The following is a 22,351-nucleotide window of genomic DNA, read 5'->3' as shown; positions in this document are numbered from 1 at the left end:
CTACATTTATTGGGGACGATAAAACAGAAAGTAAAACCAGGACCGAGAACCAGAAGTAGCTGGAATCCATTCCTGTACCCTATTAGAGTCACTTAACAAAGCTGACTTCATATTTTCTCCAGAGGGTTTGGACTCAGAGAAAGTGCGCCCCCTTCCCTCCCTAGAAGTGGGGTTGGAGATGTCCACCAAAAGCTATGGGTAAAATACATTAATGTAATCTTGACATTTTCAAAGGTATTATGTATTGTTGACATTACTGATATTGACTAACCCTTGTGAATGTTTACCATTTCTTATCACATTTAGACCCAAAGCATGGATTTGAACTTTTCCTCCTTGAGGGTTCTGCCCTGATTCTTGCAGTTGAGTTAGTTGTCCTTGATCTGGACCCTTTAATATACAGAACATATTTCTTTATCTATCATTGCACATTTTTTAACTGTTGTGAGCTTTATAGACACATTCTCTCCCCAGAAATCTGTTTATTTGGTCAATTTTAGGACAGAAGGAATATTACTAATTTATTTTTAAAAGTCACCAGATGCTCATCAATGATTTATAAATTAATGAACTCAAATAGTTGTAGAAGATTTCATAGGGAAAAAATGCATTTCTCTTATTTGGCCAATTGCAAGCCATCATATGCAATAATGAGAAATGTTGACTATGTTCGGACAAATTAAATACAGTAAGAAAAGAAAGAGCCATCTCAGAATAACGGTAGATTGATTCCAATTTTTGTAATATAGATAATATTGCAATAGACATTCATGGAAAAAAATGTTAAGTGCATTTCTGGTTATAGTTGTAATGTTCATTTCATAGAAATAAATTACTGGACCAAAGAAGGATATAAACCTCACTTTTGCACATTTTCATTAGCATTGCCTATTGCAATTAAGCATATTAATAATAGGTGAATGTAACATCTTTTTGTTTTAGCATGCTCACTCTCTCTCTCCATATATATATGCATGTGTATATGTATGTACATGTATGTGTATATATAGGTGCGTATACTTTCCTACCCTTGATTTTGAGCTTCCTACCCTTGATTTTGAGCTTCCTACCCTTGATTTTGAGCTTGGTATTGTGACTTCCTTTGATGAATTTCCAGTTAGAAGATATGTAAGAGGGACTTAAAATGAGATTTCATGGCTGTGAGAGGTGAAGCCAGCTGGACTTCTGGGTCAGGTGGCACTTGGAGAACTTTTCTGTCTTACAAGAGATTGTAAAATGCACCAATCAGCATTCTGTAGCTAGGATTGCAAAACGCACCAATCAGCACTCTGTGGCTAGCTAGAGGTTCGTAAAATGCACCAATCAGCACTCTGTAAAAACTCATCAATCAGGGTTCTGTGGCTAGCTAGAGGTTTGTAAAATGGACCAATCAGCACCCTGTAAAATGGACCAATCAGTGCTCTGTAAAATGCGCCAATCAGCACTCTGTAAAATGGACCAATCAGCAGGACATGGGTGGGGACAAATAAAGCAATAAAAGCTGGCCACCCCACACAGCAGTAACAACCACTCGGGTCCCCTTCCATGCCGTAGAAGTTTTGTTCTTTCACTCTTCACAATAAATCTTGCTGCTGCTCACTCTTTGGGTCAGCACCACCTTTAAGAGCTGTAACACTCATCACAAAGTCTGCAGCTTCATTCCTGAAGTCAGTGATACCACGAACACGCTGGAAGGAACGAACTCGGGACACAGTTGGTCATACCTTCTTGTATTTATTCCATCCCCTGAAGCGCTGCATGCCCCATTCTGCCTGCTGATCACAGGAGGACGATAAGCCAACTTGCACTATGAAGCTGAGTCATCTTGGCTGACTGAACAATAAGTAAACACTTATTGTTACATGACACTAAGATTTGAGATTATTTGGTACATAGTCATAGCTGACTCACACATACTTTAAAACAGGCCTGTTATTGAGGCTATACAACAATGAATAAAAGGACAACAGTTTTTATGTAACTTGCGCTGCATTGAGGGAAAAAAGTTACATATAGAATAATAGTTTTTATATCTATAGTGTCAGGTGGTGATTTGATTTGAAGAAAAAGTAAACCAATAAGAATAGAAAATGGCATTGGAGGAGTATATTTCTTTGATTGCTACTGAAATTGAATATTTTGCATTTCTTTTCTGAAATTTGCCTCCTAATGTGCTTTACAAATTTTTCCTTGGAGTATTTGTAATTTGTAATTATTTTCATATGTTATATTACCCATTTACATATACTGGCTATTAAAGTGTCACAAATGTTTTTCCTAATTTGATTAACATGTTATATTGTTGTTAAACAGAAATTCTTCAAATTATAATTTAATAGACTTTTGTTTTATGCTTTACTGCATATTTAGAAATATTTTATATTTTAATTTTTACATTTAACCATAATTGTGATTTATTTTAGTCTATAACGTGAGGTGAGGACCTAACCCCATCCTCAGCCTTGACAAAAGTTTCTATCATCAGTGCTTAATTAATTCAATTTCTCCCAGTTGATGTAAAATGTTACCACTGCAAGCTATCAAAAATTGGGTGGCATATACTACTATTGCTGGTTAATATATAGCCAGTAATATTCTGCCTTAATGATATTAAATGGCATTAAGAAGTGTGTATGAAATTACTTTCTATGAATGAAAACAGGTAACACATATGACAAAATATGTCGCTATTCCTGTAAAACCAATATATACACACAAACACATGGGAGGGAGATTAGAACAAACTCCAAAATATTAATAACCTTTCACTCTAAGTAAATGGAGGGATGATGAGTAGTTTGTATTGCTTCATCGCTCTTTTCTATATTTGTCTATACTTTTTATCTAAAGTAAGCATAAAAAACTTCTAAAAGCAGAAAAGAGTTAAAAATAATTTTTTAAAAAGAAAACAAAATAGGACTTCATAACTTGAAAAATTTTATTAACCAGAACCTAAGTTTTTTTTTATTTAATTGCATTTTAAATAAAACAGCAAACTATTCGTTGATATCTTCATTTTTTTCTTATTTTTCTTTTGAGACGGAGTTTCACTGTTGTTGCCCAGGCTGGAGTGCAATGGCACGATCTTGGCTCACTGCAAACCTCTGCTTCCGGGTTCCAGTGATTCTCCTGCATCAGCCTCCCGAGTAGCTGGGATTACAGGTGTGTGCCACCACGCCCACCTCGGCCTCCCAAAGTGCTGGGATGATATCTTTATTAAACAAGAAGCCATTTAGTTTGCAATTAGGAAAAAAAATTTTAAATTTCCTTCCTTTCTTCTAGAAAGCGATTTCCTAATCTCCCTACTACTATTTTTAGGAATAGGGTCTATTTTTTGTTTTAGGTATAGGTAACTCCTGATATCTTCACAGAAATGAGGTAGGACTGTATGGAGTAGCATGCTTTGTGTGTGGTGTGTGTGTGTGTGTGTGTGTGTGTGAGCTATAATTTGGATGTGTGTGTGTGTATGTGTGTGATATAATTTTGATATCTGTCCCCACCCAATTTCTCCCTTTTGGAACTGAAATGTTTACTCAATGCTTCTATCTCCATTGTATTTTTTTTTTTTTTTTTTTGAGACAGAGTCTTGCTCTGTCGCCCAGGCTGGAGTGCAGTGGCACAATCCCGGCTGACTGCAACCTCTGCCTCTCAAGTTCAAGCAATTCTCCTGTCTCAGCCTCCCGAGTAGCTGGGATTACAGGCACGCACCACCATGCCCAGCTAATTTTTGTATTTTTTTAGTAGAGATGGGGTTTCACTATGTTGGCCAAGCTGGTCTCCAACTCCTGACCTCAAGTGATCCACCGGCCTCGGCTTCACAAAGTGCTGGGATTACAGGCGTGAGCCATTGCACCCCTCTTCTCCATTGTATTTTGAAAGTAACTACTTGTTTCTGATTTTACAGGCTCATAGGTGGAAGGCATTTGCCTTGTCTCAGATGAGACTTCGGACTTTTGAGTTAATGCTGGAATGAGTTAAGATGTGGAGGGATGGTTGGGAAGGCAGGTTGTATTATGCAATGTGAGAAGGACATGAGATTTCGGAGGTGTCAGGAGCAGAGTGATACAGTTTGGATATTTGTCCTCGCTCAAATCTCATGTTGAATTGTAATCCCCAATGCTGGAAGTAGGGACAGTGGGAGGTGTTTGGATCATGGGGGTGGATCCCTCATGGCTTGATGTTGTCTTCATGGTAGTGAGTCCTCGTGAGATCTTGTCATTTAGAAGTGTGTGGCACCTCTCCCTGGACTCTCTCTCTCTCTTGCTTGCTCCTGCTTTCACCATGTGACATGCCTACTCCTTTCCACTTTCTGTCATGATTGTAAGCTTTCTGAAGCCTTCCTAGAAGCCAAGCAAATGCCAGCACCATGATATCTGTAAAGCATACAGAACTTGAGCCAATTAAATATCTTTTGAAAAATAAATTACCCAGTCTTGGATATATCTTTATAGCAACACAAGAATGACTGAGGCCGGGTGCAGTGACTCACGCCTGTAATCCCAGCAGTAAGGGAGGCCAAAGAGGGAAAATCACCTGAGGTCAGGAGTGTGAAACCAGCCTGGCCAACATCATGAAACCCCATTTCTACTAAAATTATATAAATTAGCCAGGCATGATGGTGCACGCCTGTAATTCCAACTACTTAGGAGGCTGAGGCATGAGAATTGCTTGAACCCAGGAGGTGGAGGTTGCAGTGAGCCGAGATTGAGCTACTCACTCCAGCCTGGGCAACACAGTGAAACTGTCTCAAAAAAAAAAAGAAAGACAAAAAACAAAAAACACAACAACAACAACAACAAAAACAGAATGGCCTAACACTGTGTGTGTGTTTGTGCACACACATACATATATTTTTAGAGACAGGGTCTCATGCTGTTGCCCAAGCTAGAGTACAGTGGCACCATCATAACTCACTCGAACCTCAAACACAGGCTCAAGCAATCCTCCTGATTGCTTAGGCCTCCTGAGTACTTAGGACTGTGGGTCTGCACCACTATGTCTGGCTATTTTATTTTATTTCTGGAGATGGGGGTTTTTCTATGTTTCCCAGGTTGGCCTTGAACTTCTGGTCTCGGACAATCTCCCTGCCTTGGCCTCCTAAAGTGCTGGGGTTGCAGGCATGGGCCATGGTGCCCAGCCAGAAATAAATTTATATTAATGTTCCTATTTCTTTCCTAGAGTCATCTTCTGTGGATTGCAGAGGGAACATCTTCACTTGTTGGGAAGTTAGGCTCCATTTTTTCTGAGGACCCATTTAAGCTGTGGTTGGACAGTTCCGTAAATTATCAAGACAAGGTTTAGAGTAGGCCAGTCACTGAGTGGCTGCCCTCTTGAGGGGAAGCCTAAGCCTGAGAATGGAGACATTTACAACGTGGGGGAAGAACACCTGGCTTCCTTGCTCCATCACAGAAACACATCTCAACACATCCAAGGTTATGAGGTAATAAGGAATTAACTATGGCCTCTCCTGCCACATGTCAAAGTTGATTCTATTCTAGATGAGTCTTAATTATGCCAGTGAAGTGTGGAGTTTAATAGAAAGAACCTGTTGGTTGAAAATGTAACTTTTATTGTAAGGACTAAGAAAGATTAAAAGTAAACTTTGCTTTACATGTGGTGAGCTTAATTTGAAGCTACAGAATTAATTTTTGAGGCAAAAACTCCACATCTCTCTTAAACAGTGTTTGGCTTATTGTCATTTCCTGTATATGAAATATCTCAACCTAGGGAGAATCCACATTTAGAAAATATTTAGCCTCTGATTTTCTGAACCTGAGACCTTCTTATACTCAATTTTAACTCCAATTTATTCTCTTTGCAAAGGATATAAAAGCTAGCAACGTGTAAGTATTTGCTTTTTTATTGCTGGAAGCCACCACTTTTTGAAAGCCTACTCTGTGCCAGACATAGAGCTATGGGTTGGTTTTACAGACATTATTTTTTAATACTGTACTACCACTGTATGGGAAATATAGTCTTTCCTTCCTTCCCTCCTTCCTTCTTTCCTTCTCTCCCTCCCTTCTTTTTCTTTCTTTCTTTCTTTCTTTTTCTTTCTTCTTTTTCCTTCCTTCCTTCCTTCCTCGCTTCCTTTCTGTCTCTTTCTTTTAGATGGAGACTTGCTCTGTCACCAGGCTGGAGTGCAGTGGCATGATCTTGGTTCACTGCAACTTCCACCTCCCAGGTTCAAGCGATTCTCCTGCCTCAGCCTCCCCAGTAGCTGGGACTACAGGGGCGTGCCACCACACCCAGCTAATTTTTGTATTTTTAGTAGAGACAGGGTTTCACTCTGTTGGCCAGGATGGTCTTGATCTCTTGAGCTCGTGATCCACCCACCTCGGCCTCCCATAGTGCTGGGATTACAGGCATGAGCCATTGTGCCTGGCCTTCTTTTCTTTTCTCTTTTCTTTTCATTTTCTTTTCTTTTCTCCCCTCCCCTCCCCTCCTCTCCCCTTCCCTTCCCTTCCTTTCCCTTCCCTTCCCTTCCTTCTCTTTCTCCTTCCTTCCCTTCCTCCCTTCCTTCCTTCCTTGATGACTCTGAGAGACAAAGAAATTAAGCACATGTTCAAGGTCACATCACCTATAAGTGACTGAACTGGGACTCAAACCCAGGTCTATCTTACACTAACACTGGACAATCCTCCTGAATACTACATCCTATCCTACAAGGGAAGCCAAAATCTCATGTCATTCATTTCACTAGTGCATTATATGATTTTCCTAGAGATACATATATGAGCAATATGGATCATTACTTATGCTAATAATATGTAATTACTTATGCTAAGAATGTTATTAACAAATTTGATCTAAATGTCAGTATTCATATTTATGTAGGCACTGTAGGGCACGACTGCCTGCATAGATTATTTGTTTGGTGGGTTACCAAATTAACAATATGTTAGCCGATCTCTGTTTTTAATTCTCATCATCATTAAGTTCTTTAGGTTACAATTTTTATTTAGGAGAACTCTGCTAAAGTCCAAAAATATAGGATATGACAGGCAATTATGCAATTGTCACATAATAATATATGTGCAGTTCAGTTTTTCAGGTTAGAGGATTGTCATCTTGAAGGGAGGGAAAGAAGACAGAAGTGGAAATAATTCTCAAAAATAAGGAGTTATGGTAAAAATTCAAAGGTTGTGATATTAGCCAAGAGGGCAGGGGATGTCTTGGAAAATAGCCACTGGGTACCAAAAAAAGATGATTGAAAAGGGCAAAGCAGTAAAAGAACTGGTAGAAGAGTTACTGATTTCTGACTTCACTTTTGAAGACTCTATGCTAGCAAACAAATGAAAAATGAGCTTCTAGAGTTTTCGAGTAGAGTGGGTTTCACTGTGTGGTCTTGAGCAAGCCATAACTTCGCCAAATATTTGTTTCCTCATGGGGCTATTAATAACAACTATACAGATATCAAGGGGTTGTTGAAAAATTCAAATAAAGCAATGTGTTAACTAATATTCTAGAGCTGACATTGTAAACACCATTCAGTAATATTTTAATGTGGCCAGGCTCATGCCTATAATCCCATCACTTTGAGAGGCCAAGGCAGGTGAATCATGAGGTCAGGAGTTCAAGACCAGCCTGGCCAATATAGTGAAACCCTGTCTCTACTAAAAATACAAAAATTAGCTGGGTGTGGTGGTGCGCACCTGTAGTCCCAGATGCTCCGGAGGCTGAGGCAGGAGAATCCCTTGAACCCGGGCGGCAGAGGTTGCAGGGAGCCGAGATCACACCACTGCACTCCAGCCTGGGTGAAAGAACAAGATTCCATCTCAAATATATATATAAAAGTATATATATAAATATATATAAAAATATATAAAAATAGATATAAAATATATAAATAGATATAAAAATATATAAATGTATAAATATAGATAAAATATATAAAACTATATAAATATAGATAAATATATAAATATATAAATGTATATATAAATATATAGAAAAATATATAAATATATAAATATATAAGCATATATAAATATATATAAGTATATAATATATATATAAGTATATCTAAATATATAAATATATAAATATATATCTAAATATATACATAAATATATAAATATATATATCTAAATATATACATAAATATATAAATATATATCTAAAAATATATAAATATATGTATAAATATATAAATATATATCTAGATATATATAAATATAAATATATATCTAGATGTATATAAATATATCTAAATATATATCTAGATCTATATAAATATATCTAAATATATATATCTAGATATATGGATCTAGATATATAAATATAAATATAGATAAATATATATGTAAATATATATCTAGATATATATAAATATATACATCTAAATATATATATATATAAATGAAATCTCTATCTATGAAATGAAATGAGAGGGTGAATAAAGGAAATTCATATAGCTTAATAGTCCCTAACTAGAGCTTTTTAAAAAATCAAGTTTCATTAGTTTATCTTCTGAACTCTACTTTCTGATAAAGGGAGAAGCAAAGCCTCTTTTATATTTAAATCTTCATGACATATATTGCATAAGATCGATTATAAACTTGCAACTGACTCATCTAATTTTTAGCTGGAGGGAGGCCCTCCCATATACCTGTAATTCCCATTGGATAAGTGAAAGTTTCTCTCTTTTCTCTTTGATGTGATAAATTCCTGAAAGCCATTAGTGATTTAGGGACCTTTCTGAAGAAAATCTCTCCTTGAATAGGAAAGCAGCATTAATGTTTTTAAACAGCCACTGGCTCCTTAGATTTAAGGAGCAGCATCAGCAACAGCAACAAAATGATTCAAAGTAAGAAGGAATCAACTAAGCATTTCCAAACTTTTTTTTTTTTTCAGGAAACCAGATGGTAACTGATCATTGACATTTTCCAAATGAGGCATCGGTAGGGCCAAGCAGGTGGAATTAAAGAATCTAGAGCTGCCTAAATTCAAAGTAGCATCAACTTTGGCAGCAGATACAGGGCAGTTAAAAGTCCAGGCAGTCATTCATTACTTAATCTCTACAGATATCCATTCCTTTAAGGGACTTTGCTTTTGTTATTTTTAACTTAAAAAAAAGTTAGTGTTTTTCTTTTGAAATAATTAAAGGGAAAGGAAGTCTAAAGAGAGGCTGAGTGACATCCAATATTCCCAAATACCCTCTTGTTGCTTTAGGTGATTGGTATGCTTAATTAAGGAGGGTCCTAGGTCTATCATTGACCAGGGCCTGACCTGGGGGGTAGGGAGTGGGCTGTAACCTGACCGAGCCCAGGTGTGTGCCTGCAGGTCATACACTGGGAAAACATGTGGCCTCAGTAAGCCTTTCCCAAGCCTGACCATGCCTTTAACTATTTCAGGTCTTTCTCAAGTGTTCACATTGTCTCATTCTTAGACTATGTCAGCATGCTTTCCTCTAGATTAACATTTTCAAGTTGGAAAAGGAAGTGCATAAGGTGAAGGGACTCGTTTCAGGCAATAGAGTCTAAGACGGTAGAGAATAGAACCCAACTCTTCTGGCTTCTAGTCACTGCTCAGGTCACACAGCACAGTGCCATCTATCAGGCCAACTCTCACTCACTCACGAACACCAGTTATTGACAAGACAAGTTTTCCTCCTCTACAGCATCTCTTTATCTCCCCTCCCTCCCTCCCTCCTTTCCTTCCTTCTTCTCCCCCTCCTGCTTCTCCTTCCATTCCTCTCTCCCTCTCTCATCCTTCCTCTTTCTCCTTTTCTCTTGCTCCCTCTCTTCCTCTCTCCTTGTGTTCTTCCTTCCTTTCCCCTCTCTCTCCCTCTTTCCCTCCTTTCCTCTTTCCCTTTCTTCATTTTCTTTCATTCTTGTCACAGGCAAAGCAAACTTTGCTGTCACAGTGTTTCAGAAAACTCAGTTCTTGTGTATCTGGCACATGGTGTTAAGGAAAACACAATGGCCAATGATGTTTGTTCTCTATAAATTTCCCTCTTCCGTAAGAGGTATTTGCTTCGTTTTCCTGTTGATTTTTGCTTCCTTTGCCCCCAAACAATTATTTTCTAATGGAAGTAGTAGCAACTAGAAGGTTCTGAGCCTTCTGATCAGTGAACTGGTTAATTGGTGTCCTGGCCTCTCATTAGTTCTTTTTATGTTTGTATCCCCACTGACTTCTCAAAGGTTCTGTTTGGACCATCAGGATGAAGCAAAGATAGTAGATAAGGATGCCATTCCCTCTTTCTTTCCTTTCTCCTCTAGTTTCCTCTGACCTTCGAAACCCAGACAGGAGTGCCAGGATCAGAAGTCCAAAAATTCCAAAGTCTCACTCAAAACTGCCTTTGCTACATCTTCTTATACATAATTTGGAACATGTTTATTGTTACAAAATTCTGCTCTCTCAAATTGGAGAATGCTAAAAGTAAAACCTTGTCACATCTTTTTTCTCACATTTTAATTTTGTTACTATGTTCTATTTTGCCTTCTCAACCAAGAGGCTAAGATTTTATTTATACATTCCCAAGCCTTTCAGTAAATAAACAGAAATTTTGATCAGTTATTAAGATTACTCATCTACATATTATCAAATAAACAGATATTTGAGATATTCAAATTCTTGGTTTCTAAGAATACTAACACATTAGTATGTGCTAGTAAGAATTACAAGGGGAGAAACATCCCATAATAAATAAGTCTGTGAGGCTGGGTGTGGTGGTTCATGCTTGTAATCTCAGCACTTTGGGAGGCAGAGGTGGGCAGACTTCTTGAGCCCAGGAGTTTGAGACCAGCCCAGGCAACATGACAAAACCTCATCTCTATAAAAGAATTAAAAAATTAGCCGGGTGTTGTGGTGCATGCCTATAGTCTCAGCTACTCGGGAGGCGGAGGTGGGAGAATTGCTTGAGCCCAGGAGGTCAAGGCTGCAGTGAGCTATGATAGCACCACTGTCCTCCAGCCTGGGCCACAGAGCAAGACCCTGTCTCAGTCAATCAATCAGTCAATCAATCGTCTATGAAATGATGTGCTAAGTAAAGTTAGGTGGATTTTATAAAAATTACATTTTCTAAACTACTGATTCACAAAACTGCTTTCTTTGGTAGAGTAGGGCTGGTACTTTCAGGAAATGCTGGATATACAAGAGAGTGATCAGATGTTGAGCATGATCATCTGAAACATAAGTATTGTACTACAGTTGATTAAATAATAGAACATGTTTATACAAACAAATTATAAGAAGCAAACAGAAGCGTTTTGATGAGATTAAAGTTAGATGGTAAGGATACTTGTCTCTGTCAAAGTTAATAATAATGACACACACATGCACCCCACACTTTACACATGTTAAGTGCCCCCAGGATTCAATCAAGAAAACATTGCATTAAGTTTTAAAGTGTTTTTTTTATTTTTATTTATTTATTTATTTTTGACAGAATCTCGCTCTGTTGCCCACGCTGGAGTGCAGTGGCGTGATCTCAACTCGCTGCAACCTCCGTCTCCTGGGTTCAAGCAATTCTCCTACTTCAGCCCCCTAAGTAGCTGGGACTACAGGCGCATGCCACCACGCCTGGCTAATTTTTTGTATTTTTAGTAGAGACGGGATTTCACCATGTTAGCCAGGATGGTCTCGATCTCCTGACCTTGTGATCCACCAGCCTCAGCCTCCTAAAGTGCTGGGATTACAGGCGTGAGCTACCACACCTGGCCAAAGTTTTTTAAAAGTATGAATACAGCACTTTTTTCTTCGAAGAATGCAACAGGTCTACCTATCTCTTAGTGTAGCTAATTCATCCAAATAAATTTGAATAATTGGATTTCAAACATTTTTCAAGAGGAAAAAAAATTTAGAAAATTTAGTTTCCATTCATATCTTGAAACTATGTGGTTATAGCTCTGGAACTGAACCAATCCCAATGAGGTAAATATGAGCAGAAACATGCATTCTACTGACCTTCACAAATTATTATATATCTAAGTGCCATGTTGTCAGTAGTTTTTTCTAGTGCAAACTTTTAAAAGGTAACACATTCATTATTATAACTTCATAATTTTTATCTAAAATTTGAACATATATATTCAGTTCAATGTGCATGTGACTTTAATTCTGTTTGGAAAGAAGACTGAGTTAGGTCAGCTGTTTTTCCACTTTAATACAAAGATATGGAATAGCAGATTGGACCGTGGTGACATTGTAAAGTATGCGCTTTTTTCCATGTAACAGCCTTGAGTTCCATAGCATTAAAAACTTTATCAATCAGATCAAAGAAACTAAGAAAAGAACACTTGAAAGAAAATTTCAATGCAAAAAGGAAAGCAAAATAAAGGAATGACGAATAGAACAAAGAAAGGAAAAAAGGAAAGATATTGATGAAAATTAAGATTATATTTGGAGAAAGGTCTCTTTACATGACAAGAAAGCAATGGCCTGCTTATTTTTATCTAAGGAGACACACAGACTATCGGAATGAGCATATGTTTACCTTTTCAAAAATTTGATACCGTGCATCTAAACTGTAGTAGACATCATTTGTTTTTGCCTGTCCACCATCTATTTTCTATTTGTCTGGTAGTAGCACCTTGATTTTCCTTTGAAGAAATTCTTAGCCCTACTGCATGGAGTCCAAGAGTGGTGAAGAGTCTGTGTCTATTCTTCTTTACCCAAGGTGTGGGCCGTGGCTATACCAATGGAATTCTCTATCTCAGAGATTTAAATCTTAGCATAGAGAACCTGGATAGAAAAATAAAGAGCTGATTCTTCTGCAGGAAGAGGATGTTCTTCAGTTTTCAGCTCACTGATTGTCACAGTATAGATATCTTTTTCTACTTTATTTTGATGGTATTTCAAGAATCTACTTATATGTTGGGTTCTTCAAATGCCTCAATTCTGTCATCTCAAATGAATCATTATTTGTCAAACAATCAAATGAACAGCCCCTTCCTGGATCTAATTCTAGCTTTAGGCTCCATTTGTGTCTCATGCACACATCCTGGATATTACCTACCCTACATGATCTTCACTAATTACCACAGAGTCCCTAGACCGATGGATAACACTGCCCCATTACTCTGAGCATTGAAAATAATGATGTATTCTTTTTACTCTGATTTGGCCTAATTAAATAAGTAATATGCAAGAGAACCCATCCACCCCAATAAAAATGATATGTAATTTTCAGAGTTTATGAGATGCAAAGCCAAGTTATGGGGAAGAAAGTGAGCTATAAGTGGAAGGGACACCTGTGTTATTATGTGGTCTCACTTTCTTGCATGTAATAATGGAAGGGGTTTGATATGGTTTGGCTGTGTGTCTCCACCCAAATCTCACACAGAATTGTAATCTTTGATGTTGTAGGAGGGTCCTGGAGGGAGGTGACTGAATCATGGGGCCAGACTTCCCCCTTTCTGTTCTTGTGATAGAGTTCTCACAAGATCTGGTTGTTTGAAAGTATGTAGCACTTCCCCCTCCACTCTTTCACTCCCTCTTGCCAGCTGTGTGAAGACATACTTGCTTCTCCTTCACCTTTTGCCATGATTGTAAGTTTCCTGAGGTCTCCCCAGAAGCAGAAGCCTGAAGAGCCTGCAGAAACCATGAGCTAATCAAATTTCTTTTTCCAGTAAATTACTCAGTCTTAGCTAGTTTTTTATAGCAATGTGAGAATAGACTAATATAGAAAATTGGTACCAAAGAAGAGGGGCATTGCTATAAAGATACATGAAAATGTGGAAGCAACTTTGGAACTGGGTAATGGGCAAATATTGGAACAGTTTGAAGGGCTCAGAAGAAGACAGATGAGGGAAAGTTTGGAACTTCCCACAGACTTGTTGAATGGTTGTGACCAAAATGCTAATAATGATACAGACAGTGAAGTCCAGGCAGAAGTCTGATTCAGGGGTGGAGCCCTCATGTAGAACCTCTACTAGGGTAGTGTGAAAGGGAAACATGAGGTTGGAGCCACACAGAGTCCCCACTGGAGCACCACCTGGTGAAGCTATGAGAAGAAGGCCACTGTTCTCCAAACCTCAGAATGGTAGATCCACTGACAGCTTGCACTGTGCACCTGGAGAGGCTGCAGGCACTCGACACCAGCCTATGAAAACAGCCACTGAGATTGTGCCCTGCAGAGCCACAGGGGTGGAGCTCCCCAAGGCCTTGGGAGCTCACCACTTGAATCAGTGTGTCCTGGATGTGAGACATGGAGTCAAAGGAGATTATTTTGGAGTTTTAAGATTTAATGACTGCCCTGCTGGGTTTTGGACTCTTGTGGGGCCTGGAGCCCTTTTGCTTTGGCCAATTTCTTCCTTTTGGATTGGCAGCATTTACCAAATTCCTGTACTTCTATTGTATCTTGGAAGTAGCTAACTTGTCTTTTATTTCACAGGCTCATAGGTGGAAGGGACTTGTCTCAGTTGAGACTTTGGGCTTGGACTTTCGAGTTAATGCTGGAATGAGTTAAGACTTTGGAGCAACCATTGGAAAGGCATGATTGTGTTTGAAAATGTGAGAGGGACATGAGATTCGGGAGGGGCTGAGGCAGAATGATATAGTTTGGCTATGTGTCCCCAACCAAATCTCATATAGAATTGTAATTTTCAGTGTTGCAGGAGGGGCCTGGTAGGAGGTGATTGAATCCTGGGGGTGGACTTCCCCGTTGCTGTTCTTGTGATAGAGTTCTCAGGAGAACTGGTTATTTGAAAGGGTGTAGCACTTCCCCCTTCTCTGTCTCTCTTCTCCACCATATGAAGATGTGCTTGCCTCCCCTCTGCCTTCCACCATGGTTGTAAGTTTCCTGAGGTCTACCCAGAAGCAGAAGCCTGGACAGCCTGCAGAACTGTGAGCTGATTAAACCTCTTTTTTAAAAATAAATTACACAGTTTCTCAGGTAGTTCTTTACAGCAGTGTGAGAATGGACTTATACAGGGTTAGAGGAAAATTACAGAATAGGCTCAGTGAAAATATTGCATAGCCATCTTTGCCCCCAAAATTGAAACTAGAATGAAAATTAGAAGAGAGAAATAATTAATTTATTGATCCAAGAGTTGGCAAACTGTAGCCTATAAGCCAAATCAGACCATGCTTATCCAATTACATATTGTCTTCTTGCTGCTGCACTACATTGGGAGAGTTGAGTGATTTCTACAAAGACCACATAGCTGACAAAGTACAAAATTGGCCTTTACAAGGAAAAAGTTTGCCAACACCTGGATTAAAATGCATTCTATACATTCATGAGAGGAGATGGGAAACATTTTGGAAAAAATATTATTAAGTATCTACTCCTATTTTGAGATTTCCAAAGAGCATGGCATTTGGAAGATCTGGTTATAAGCTTCATTTCTCCTACTGAAAAGGCTGTGAAACCCAAGCAGTTATTTAAATTCTCTGAATTTCAATTTCCTCTCTATAAACCAAGCCTATCAATAGCACCAAATTCTCATCTATAATAAAGGTTAAGTGCCCTGGTATATTTGTATATAATCTATGAATTTTAAACTATGTTAGTTTTAATAAGGAACACTCAAGAGTAACACCACAATTCCCCAAATACATTCTCTCCTCAGAGAAACAATCACTTCTGTCCATTTTTGTTAAAATTCTAAAGGTTTTTGCCTACAAATTATTGACTAACATGCTATTTCTATTTCTTCACTTAGTAACTTGAAATTTATCTACTGAATTCCTATTATGATAGGTAAGAATTTCATTTGCACTCTACTTGTAGTCATCTTTTTGTAGTTCTATTTAACAAAACTGAAACTTCACATCTTATTTTTCTACTTTTACATCTTCTTTTCCCTATCTACTTTTCAACTTCTGTCAGCTCTACTATTACTTTTACTTTATGAAGATCAATAACATGATTCTATTGCATCTAAAATCATTGCAGATTCTATAATTTTTCCAAGTGAAGAGTGTTTTTCATAGAGTAATTGGCTAACTTAAATATATATGTTTATGATGCATTGTAAAATAGTTGACTGGCTACCTGTTATATTTAAATTAGTAATTTTGTACTGTAAAAATGTAGGAACATATATAATATGTACATACTATTAACTTAGAAATATTTTCTTACTTTCTTATGTCTATGGGATAATTCTTCTCAGAGTCTCCACATTCACTGCCATCTTCTCTGGAACCATCTGGGAAGTCATCAAAGGCTGTGTTCAGAATCATTTGTGTTTTTATTTTAATAGTTCAGATACAGATTTTTTTGTAATGCATTGAATGATGTCACTGTAATTTTATCCTAAACTGCAACTTACGAAATACAGTTTTTATTCAACAGGAAGAGAAAATTCATCATCTCCATAATACAACCCCTTACTATATTGCTTTTTAAAATGATCTTTAAAAGATTTGTTTCCAGCAACTTTCATCACTTGCAAGTGTGAAATTTAAGAATAATGTCTCAACTTGTGCCAAATTTATTTGCTTCTACTGTTGTCAGCATGATTTTTCATTTCATAATAATAATTATTATTTCTTTTCCTTTCATTTCTCCTCCTCTTTCTCCTCCCCCTCCTCCTCTTCCTCCTTATCCTCCTTCTCCTCCTCCTTCTCCTTCCATATCTTTAGATAACCTATTTTCCCCACTCTGGTAACTTTTCAGATCTTCCTTTTTAATATCTAGGGTTCTGTAATTTCACATTAATATTTTACTTCATTTTCATGACTCTTCTTTGGCCCTTGCCAGGCATTTTCATGTTGAAATTGCATGCCTTCCTGCGTGCAGTGTAGTCAATCTTTCTTTCTATTGATTTGACAGCTGTCTTCTACCTCATTTGTTCTGTTCTTTCTTTATGATACTAATATTAATTAGACATTGAACTTTTGGAGTTAACTCTTCTGTTTCTTTTCTTTCACATTTTGCCTTTTCACATTTTGTGCTGCACATTCTGAAAGATATGTTATTTCTTCAATTTTTTCTCCTCTTTGTTTTTCCTGAAATTATATCTTAAATTCCTAGAAACTCTTCTGGTTCTCCAATAGTTCATTTTTCATAGTAGACTGTTCTTGTTTGACGAATACAGTATCTTCTTACATTTCTCCAAGGACAATAATTTGAGTTTTTCTCTTTTACCTGCTTTCTCAAAATCCTGTTTGTTTTTAATTCTATTTGATTCTTCATGTTTTTTGTTTTTGTTTGTTTTTGTTTTCTGTCTTTGTTTCTATTCATGCGAAAATATTCCTCAACTTTCTGGAGATACGTATCTGTTCCTATTCAAGAATGAGGAATGAATAAATCTGGTGTGAGGCTCAGAGCATATAGGTGAGTTTTGTTGATGGATAGGCTTTGATTTAGGATCATGAACACAGACCCCTAAATACTACAAGAAAGGCATTCTTCTGTAATTCTAAACCTTCTCCAGCTCCCAGATTCCATGTAGATAGTTAAATTTCTTTAGAGAATGACTATGTAATTTTTTTTTATATTTTTTTAAACCTGGAGTAAACACCAGGTTACTAGTAATCATGCTTGCTGGGATGGAGGGGTTACCTGATTGTTGATCTTCACTTAATCTCTCTCTTTCAGGCTTACTCTTTCTCACAGTATAATACTAGAACCTCTCTGGAGGGCACCAGCTAGCCTGGCAGCCCCTCCCCGCATTAGTTCCCTCTACCCTCACTTTGAGCTCTGTCTTCCTGGTTGACTTCACAGGACAACACTCTCCTATATACTTTCTCCTTCCAGAAATGTGGCAAAATCTCTGGTTTTCTGGTGGTTCCGGGTTTTGTAGATTTATATGTATTTATATTCTTTATTATCCTTTACCATCATTTATTGGATATTTAGAAAGTAGAGGAGAAACATATCTGTGGTCAGTATTCTAAACTAGAATTTAATTTTAATTTTATTAACCTTTATGTATTGATCTGATTTTCCAAGTTATTACACTTCCATAAATAATAAATTACAAAGTTATAATTGGAAATAAAGGAGATACCCAGATCCCACCTCCTTTAAAAGTTTAGCTATTCACAAAACACACATTCCCTCCCTTTGGCAAAGATGCTTCTGCTATTGTATTTTCTAAAAATAATTAAGAGAAATGATTTTCAACTTTTTTTCTTCTCTAACACTACACAAACAAATATCTTAGCCCTTTTCCTCATACCTCTCAAAAGATGTTTTAATTGCAATCTCTGAGTCTATCTAATTTAGGTCTATTTCATAATATGTTTAAAGAATCTTGACTTTGCAATTAAGGAAGCATGGAATATGTCTGCTACTGTCTCAAAGTACCATTCTTTCTGCACCAGTGCAGTGTTCTCTGGTCAGTAAAGGGTAAATGAAACTTGGTATTGGAGTTCCAGGACAGCTGCCCAGGTAGCCTCCTCTAAATTCATTTTTAACGCCAGCTGTGGCATATCTATCTGAGCTGAGCTTTCATCTCTTCCCTCTGCATCTGGCTCAGGCCATATTGGCATTCTCTGATATTCAAAGATCTTGCTTTTTGCTTTTTTTTCTCTTTCTTTTCTTTTTCTCTCCATCACCCAAAACATTGCTTTGGGAAAACCGGAATAAGGGATTTAGATTGAGTAAAACAAAACAAAACAAGACTCAGACTGGCTGAATCAGGTGACATATCCCACAGTCACACTTTGGTATTTTTTCTTCTTTACCATCCCTCTACTCCTCTTTCCCTCCCTCCCTCTTCTTGCCCCCTTTCCTCTTTCTTCCCTTCTCCTCTCCTTGTCTTTTCTCCTCTCTTTTGCCTTCCACCTTTTCCTCCTAACACATTTTCTCCTCCTCTTCATCCTTTGAAGTGAACTTCTTCGTGTAGCAAGGCACTAAAGCTACCCAGGTTTCTGCTAAGCAGCTTCAATTCTCAACAGGGCACAGCTGTCATCTGATGTTATCAAAACGGGCAAAAGTCGATGGCTAAAAGTCAAAGATTTGATGAAAAAATAGGTGTTGAAAACACCAGCCTCAGCAGTTTAAGCAACAAGTCAAAGGGTTTTGAAGCCAATACCAGTCTGTCTTCACAGAGGAAAATGTTTGGGAAGATGCTGTGAAGACCCCTTCTTTCATAAACAGACAAAGCTCCCTGCTTTGGCAGAACTGATTCCAGACCTGAAAATGTCTGGAAACGTTTAAGTTTTTCCCCTTATTTTTCTCTGATGTGGGAACTTCCATACTGAGTAATTTTGAATTCTAGAAGTGGGGTTAATAATGTTAATGCCAGTCATGGCTGAGATAGATGCCAGTCCATAAGAGTCTTTACCAAGTTATCTCTTTTGTAACTATTTCAGCCTTCCGTGCACTTTTTGCCCTTTTGCATTTAAATGGATATATCAATGAGCTGGTTTGGTTAACTTAATCAATTAAACCTAAGTGGCAGGATTCTGGTTTCAAATTGTGCAGTGCAGATTAAAGGGGAAAAATGTATTTTGGATTCTCAGATTAGAAGTGGTTAGTATATAGTAGTTCTAATATATAGTAGTGAGATATTTTGATAGCAAATGAAGAATTTAGTTCAAACTAGAATGAAAAGGGAAAAAATCTACTCAAAACAAATATGCTTTACTGATGCGTAGCCTTTTCACCATGCATGGGCCCTACCATAGGCAAGGTGTCAAGAAACTAAAAAGAAAGTACAACCCAATGCCTTCAAGTATAAAAGTCCTGAGACAATGAACCCACAGAGAAAAATAGGTTTAGATGGAAAATTGAGGCGATGACTGGGTGTTGCTCTAAGCCCTTGGTATTTATTATATTTCTTCCTGAAAAAGAGTTTGCAGTCTAGAAATTAACATTTTTCATTTCCATATGCTTGAACATTTTTCAGTGCTATTAAGAATGTCCATAGAAAATTCAGGTCATACTGACTACTTAGACTACACTTGCCAGGGCATATTTTTGAAACCTCATTTCTATTTTTGTGAGCTAAAATTTTGCAGGTAGTAAGGTGGTAGATGCAAATATCATAATGTGAATATGAGCCAATTAACCAACAACCACATTTTATGAGGTTGCAACCACCTAATTGTTTTGTGTCTGCAGCTAATTATTTCTGGGAGATATTTCTGCATATGGAAAAGGAGTCTGTTATTATAATTGAGTATACAGCAAAACAAAAGTTCTGCTGTAAGTACATCAACGGCAAGGATCACATCTTCTCTGTGTTCCATAAAATTCCATAAATCACTTCGGGCTCATGGATTCTAAATGAATATAAACTGCTAATGGTGACATGATTCTAAAGTTTGGAAATCAAATTGTATAGCCAGCTGCAGTGCATAATATCCAAGATATAAAATAGCAACAAAATTTTGAGTGGTTGGTATTACTAACTCATTGATGCTGTTTCTCATAGACTCATAATTTTTCAGATGGAAAAAAAATGGAAAAAAATCTACTCCAATATCTTTATCTTAAAGTTTGAAAATTATGGTCATGAGAAATTATGTGACCTACTGAAAGACTTGTGATGCTATTAGGCTTAACCCCTAAGGGGCACAATGTCTAAACCAGTGCCCCCCAGAAAAGGCTCAGCACTTTCCCAATTTTTACTTTAAGATGTTAGAGGCAATACATGTCACCAGAAAACATGTCTATTAAACCCATGCATGCCAGGCCTAGGGGAGCTCTGACAAGTTTATTTAATTACAGGAGGCTAAACTTGTTCTTATAAATTGGTCTGTCCAGACAAAGTCATGGACAAAGTAAGCAGTTTTATGCAGATAGGTTTTATTTTTGTTATTATTGCAGCTGCTCATTGATATTTTAATGTAAGTTTTTATTGAGCTATGCCCTGAGGCTTTTTAAATTGAGGGTTCAATTATTTATAAAATCTAATAATTAAGTAAATTAATGAGCCTAGTCAGAAATCTGGCAACTTGACTGTATGGATTAGACACAAGAAATACTAATGGAAAGGAGGGTTTTTTTCCGTCTTTACAGGAAAATCTTTTAAAATATTTTAGACTATGCTTTCTAGATGTACACAAAAAGTCTGAGGCTGAGATTTGCAGATGAACCAGTGCACAAATGCAGGTCAGAGATAGAGCTTAACAGCAGATGGGGGTGGGCTGGGCACACCTTGTGATTGATCTAAGTTGCCCCTCTTGCCAAAGCAATTTAGAGTTTTACCAAGGACAGCTTCCAGAAATACAGAGGAATAGCACAGTGGTCACATTTCTTTACTTAAAGATTGAAAACTGATAAATTATAATATGCCCAGAAGAATGTAACTATAACGGCCACTCAGAACCACAAGATGAGGCCAAATTAAAGAAACTAAACATGGTTAACTTGGAGAAGGCTACATCCTCGAGTACATGATAAGTCTCTGAAAATATTTTAAAAGAGAACTATACTATTAGATGGGTGCAAAAGTGATTGCTGTATTTGCCATTACTTTCAATGGCAAAAACCGCAGTCACCTTCGCACCAACCTAATAACCCTGGATTACCCAGGAGAACGCAGCTAGAGATTCAGCTTTTGGTTCCACAATTCTTCCATTTTGTTGCTTTGCTGCTGGGGTAATTCTTCAGTCCTAACCCTGGCTGTGCTGATTGTTTTCCTCAGTTCAGTATGAGAGAGGATGCTGCTTCTCTTTGGTTATGGAGCCCACAGCCCTTACGTTTAAATCTGGTAACAAATTAGGCTTTTTACTTCAGTTCCACTTCCTGAATTCTGTGTTTGGCAACTTGCACGGCCTTCCCCCATCCTCTCACAGGACTGACTTGGTTTCATGCTCTGACATGAGCCTAACTGCTTGCTCATCTAAATATCATTTCTCTCATGTCCCCCTGAGCTATTTTTCACTCACTCTCTGGATTCTCCATGCTGCCTGTTTTGCTTGATTTGTACATGGAGATGGACAAGCTCCTGGACAAGATTTAATCCGCTTGCATAGTGTCTTGACACTATGGTTGCTTACCTCAGAAGTTTGTCTTTAAAAAGATAAATGCCAGCATAGTATTTTTATAACTTTATCATCTTTATTGCTCACCACACATTCTTGTAGTACCATTATCACATTGCAGAGAAACAAAAACTGAGATTCAAGTGCCTTGAGTGACTTGCCTGAGATTTATCAGCAAGTCAAGGCATGCCCGGAACACAGGTGGCGATCTGATGGCAGGGCCTGTGTCGTTTCCGCCATAATCCCCTCCTCTCACTATTTCACGCTCCAGATTATGATTCATTTTTATACAAAGACAGTGAAACTACAATAGGACTCTTTATGAAATATGGTCTGGTGTAGTCCAGGTGTGTTCATTATTCACACAGGACATAATTATTAAAACCAGTGTTCCAGGACTTCCTAAAGTTTAAAGGCTCTTATGGTCTGTATTTAATTCCTTATTGAACAAAGAATGTTTTGTCCTGGAGATTCCGATTGAATAGAGGCAATGTAATGGAAAATTTTTCCATAAGCAAAC

General features: G+C 37.6%; 1 annotated feature.

Moving 5' to 3' along the window:
* Positions 1,354–2,553: an enhancer, noted in NCBI's record as "BRD4-independent group 4 enhancer chr15:95789767-95790966 (GRCh37/hg19 assembly coordinates)". NCBI's record gives its function as "activates an origin of replication core promoter dependent on BRD2, P300/CBP, MED14 and CDK7 cofactors, and independent of BRD4, by STARR-seq in HCT116 cells {active_cell/tissue: HCT116}" and the evidence as "EXISTENCE:reporter gene assay evidence [ECO:0000049][PMID:35650434]".

Source organism: Homo sapiens, chromosome 15, assembly GCF_000001405.40.
Source record: "Homo sapiens chromosome 15, GRCh38.p14 Primary Assembly".
Lineage (NCBI taxonomy): Eukaryota > Metazoa > Chordata > Mammalia > Primates > Hominidae > Homo > Homo sapiens.
The sequence above is the reverse complement of the archived record's forward strand: the minus strand, read 5'-3'. Positions and strand labels throughout refer to the sequence as shown.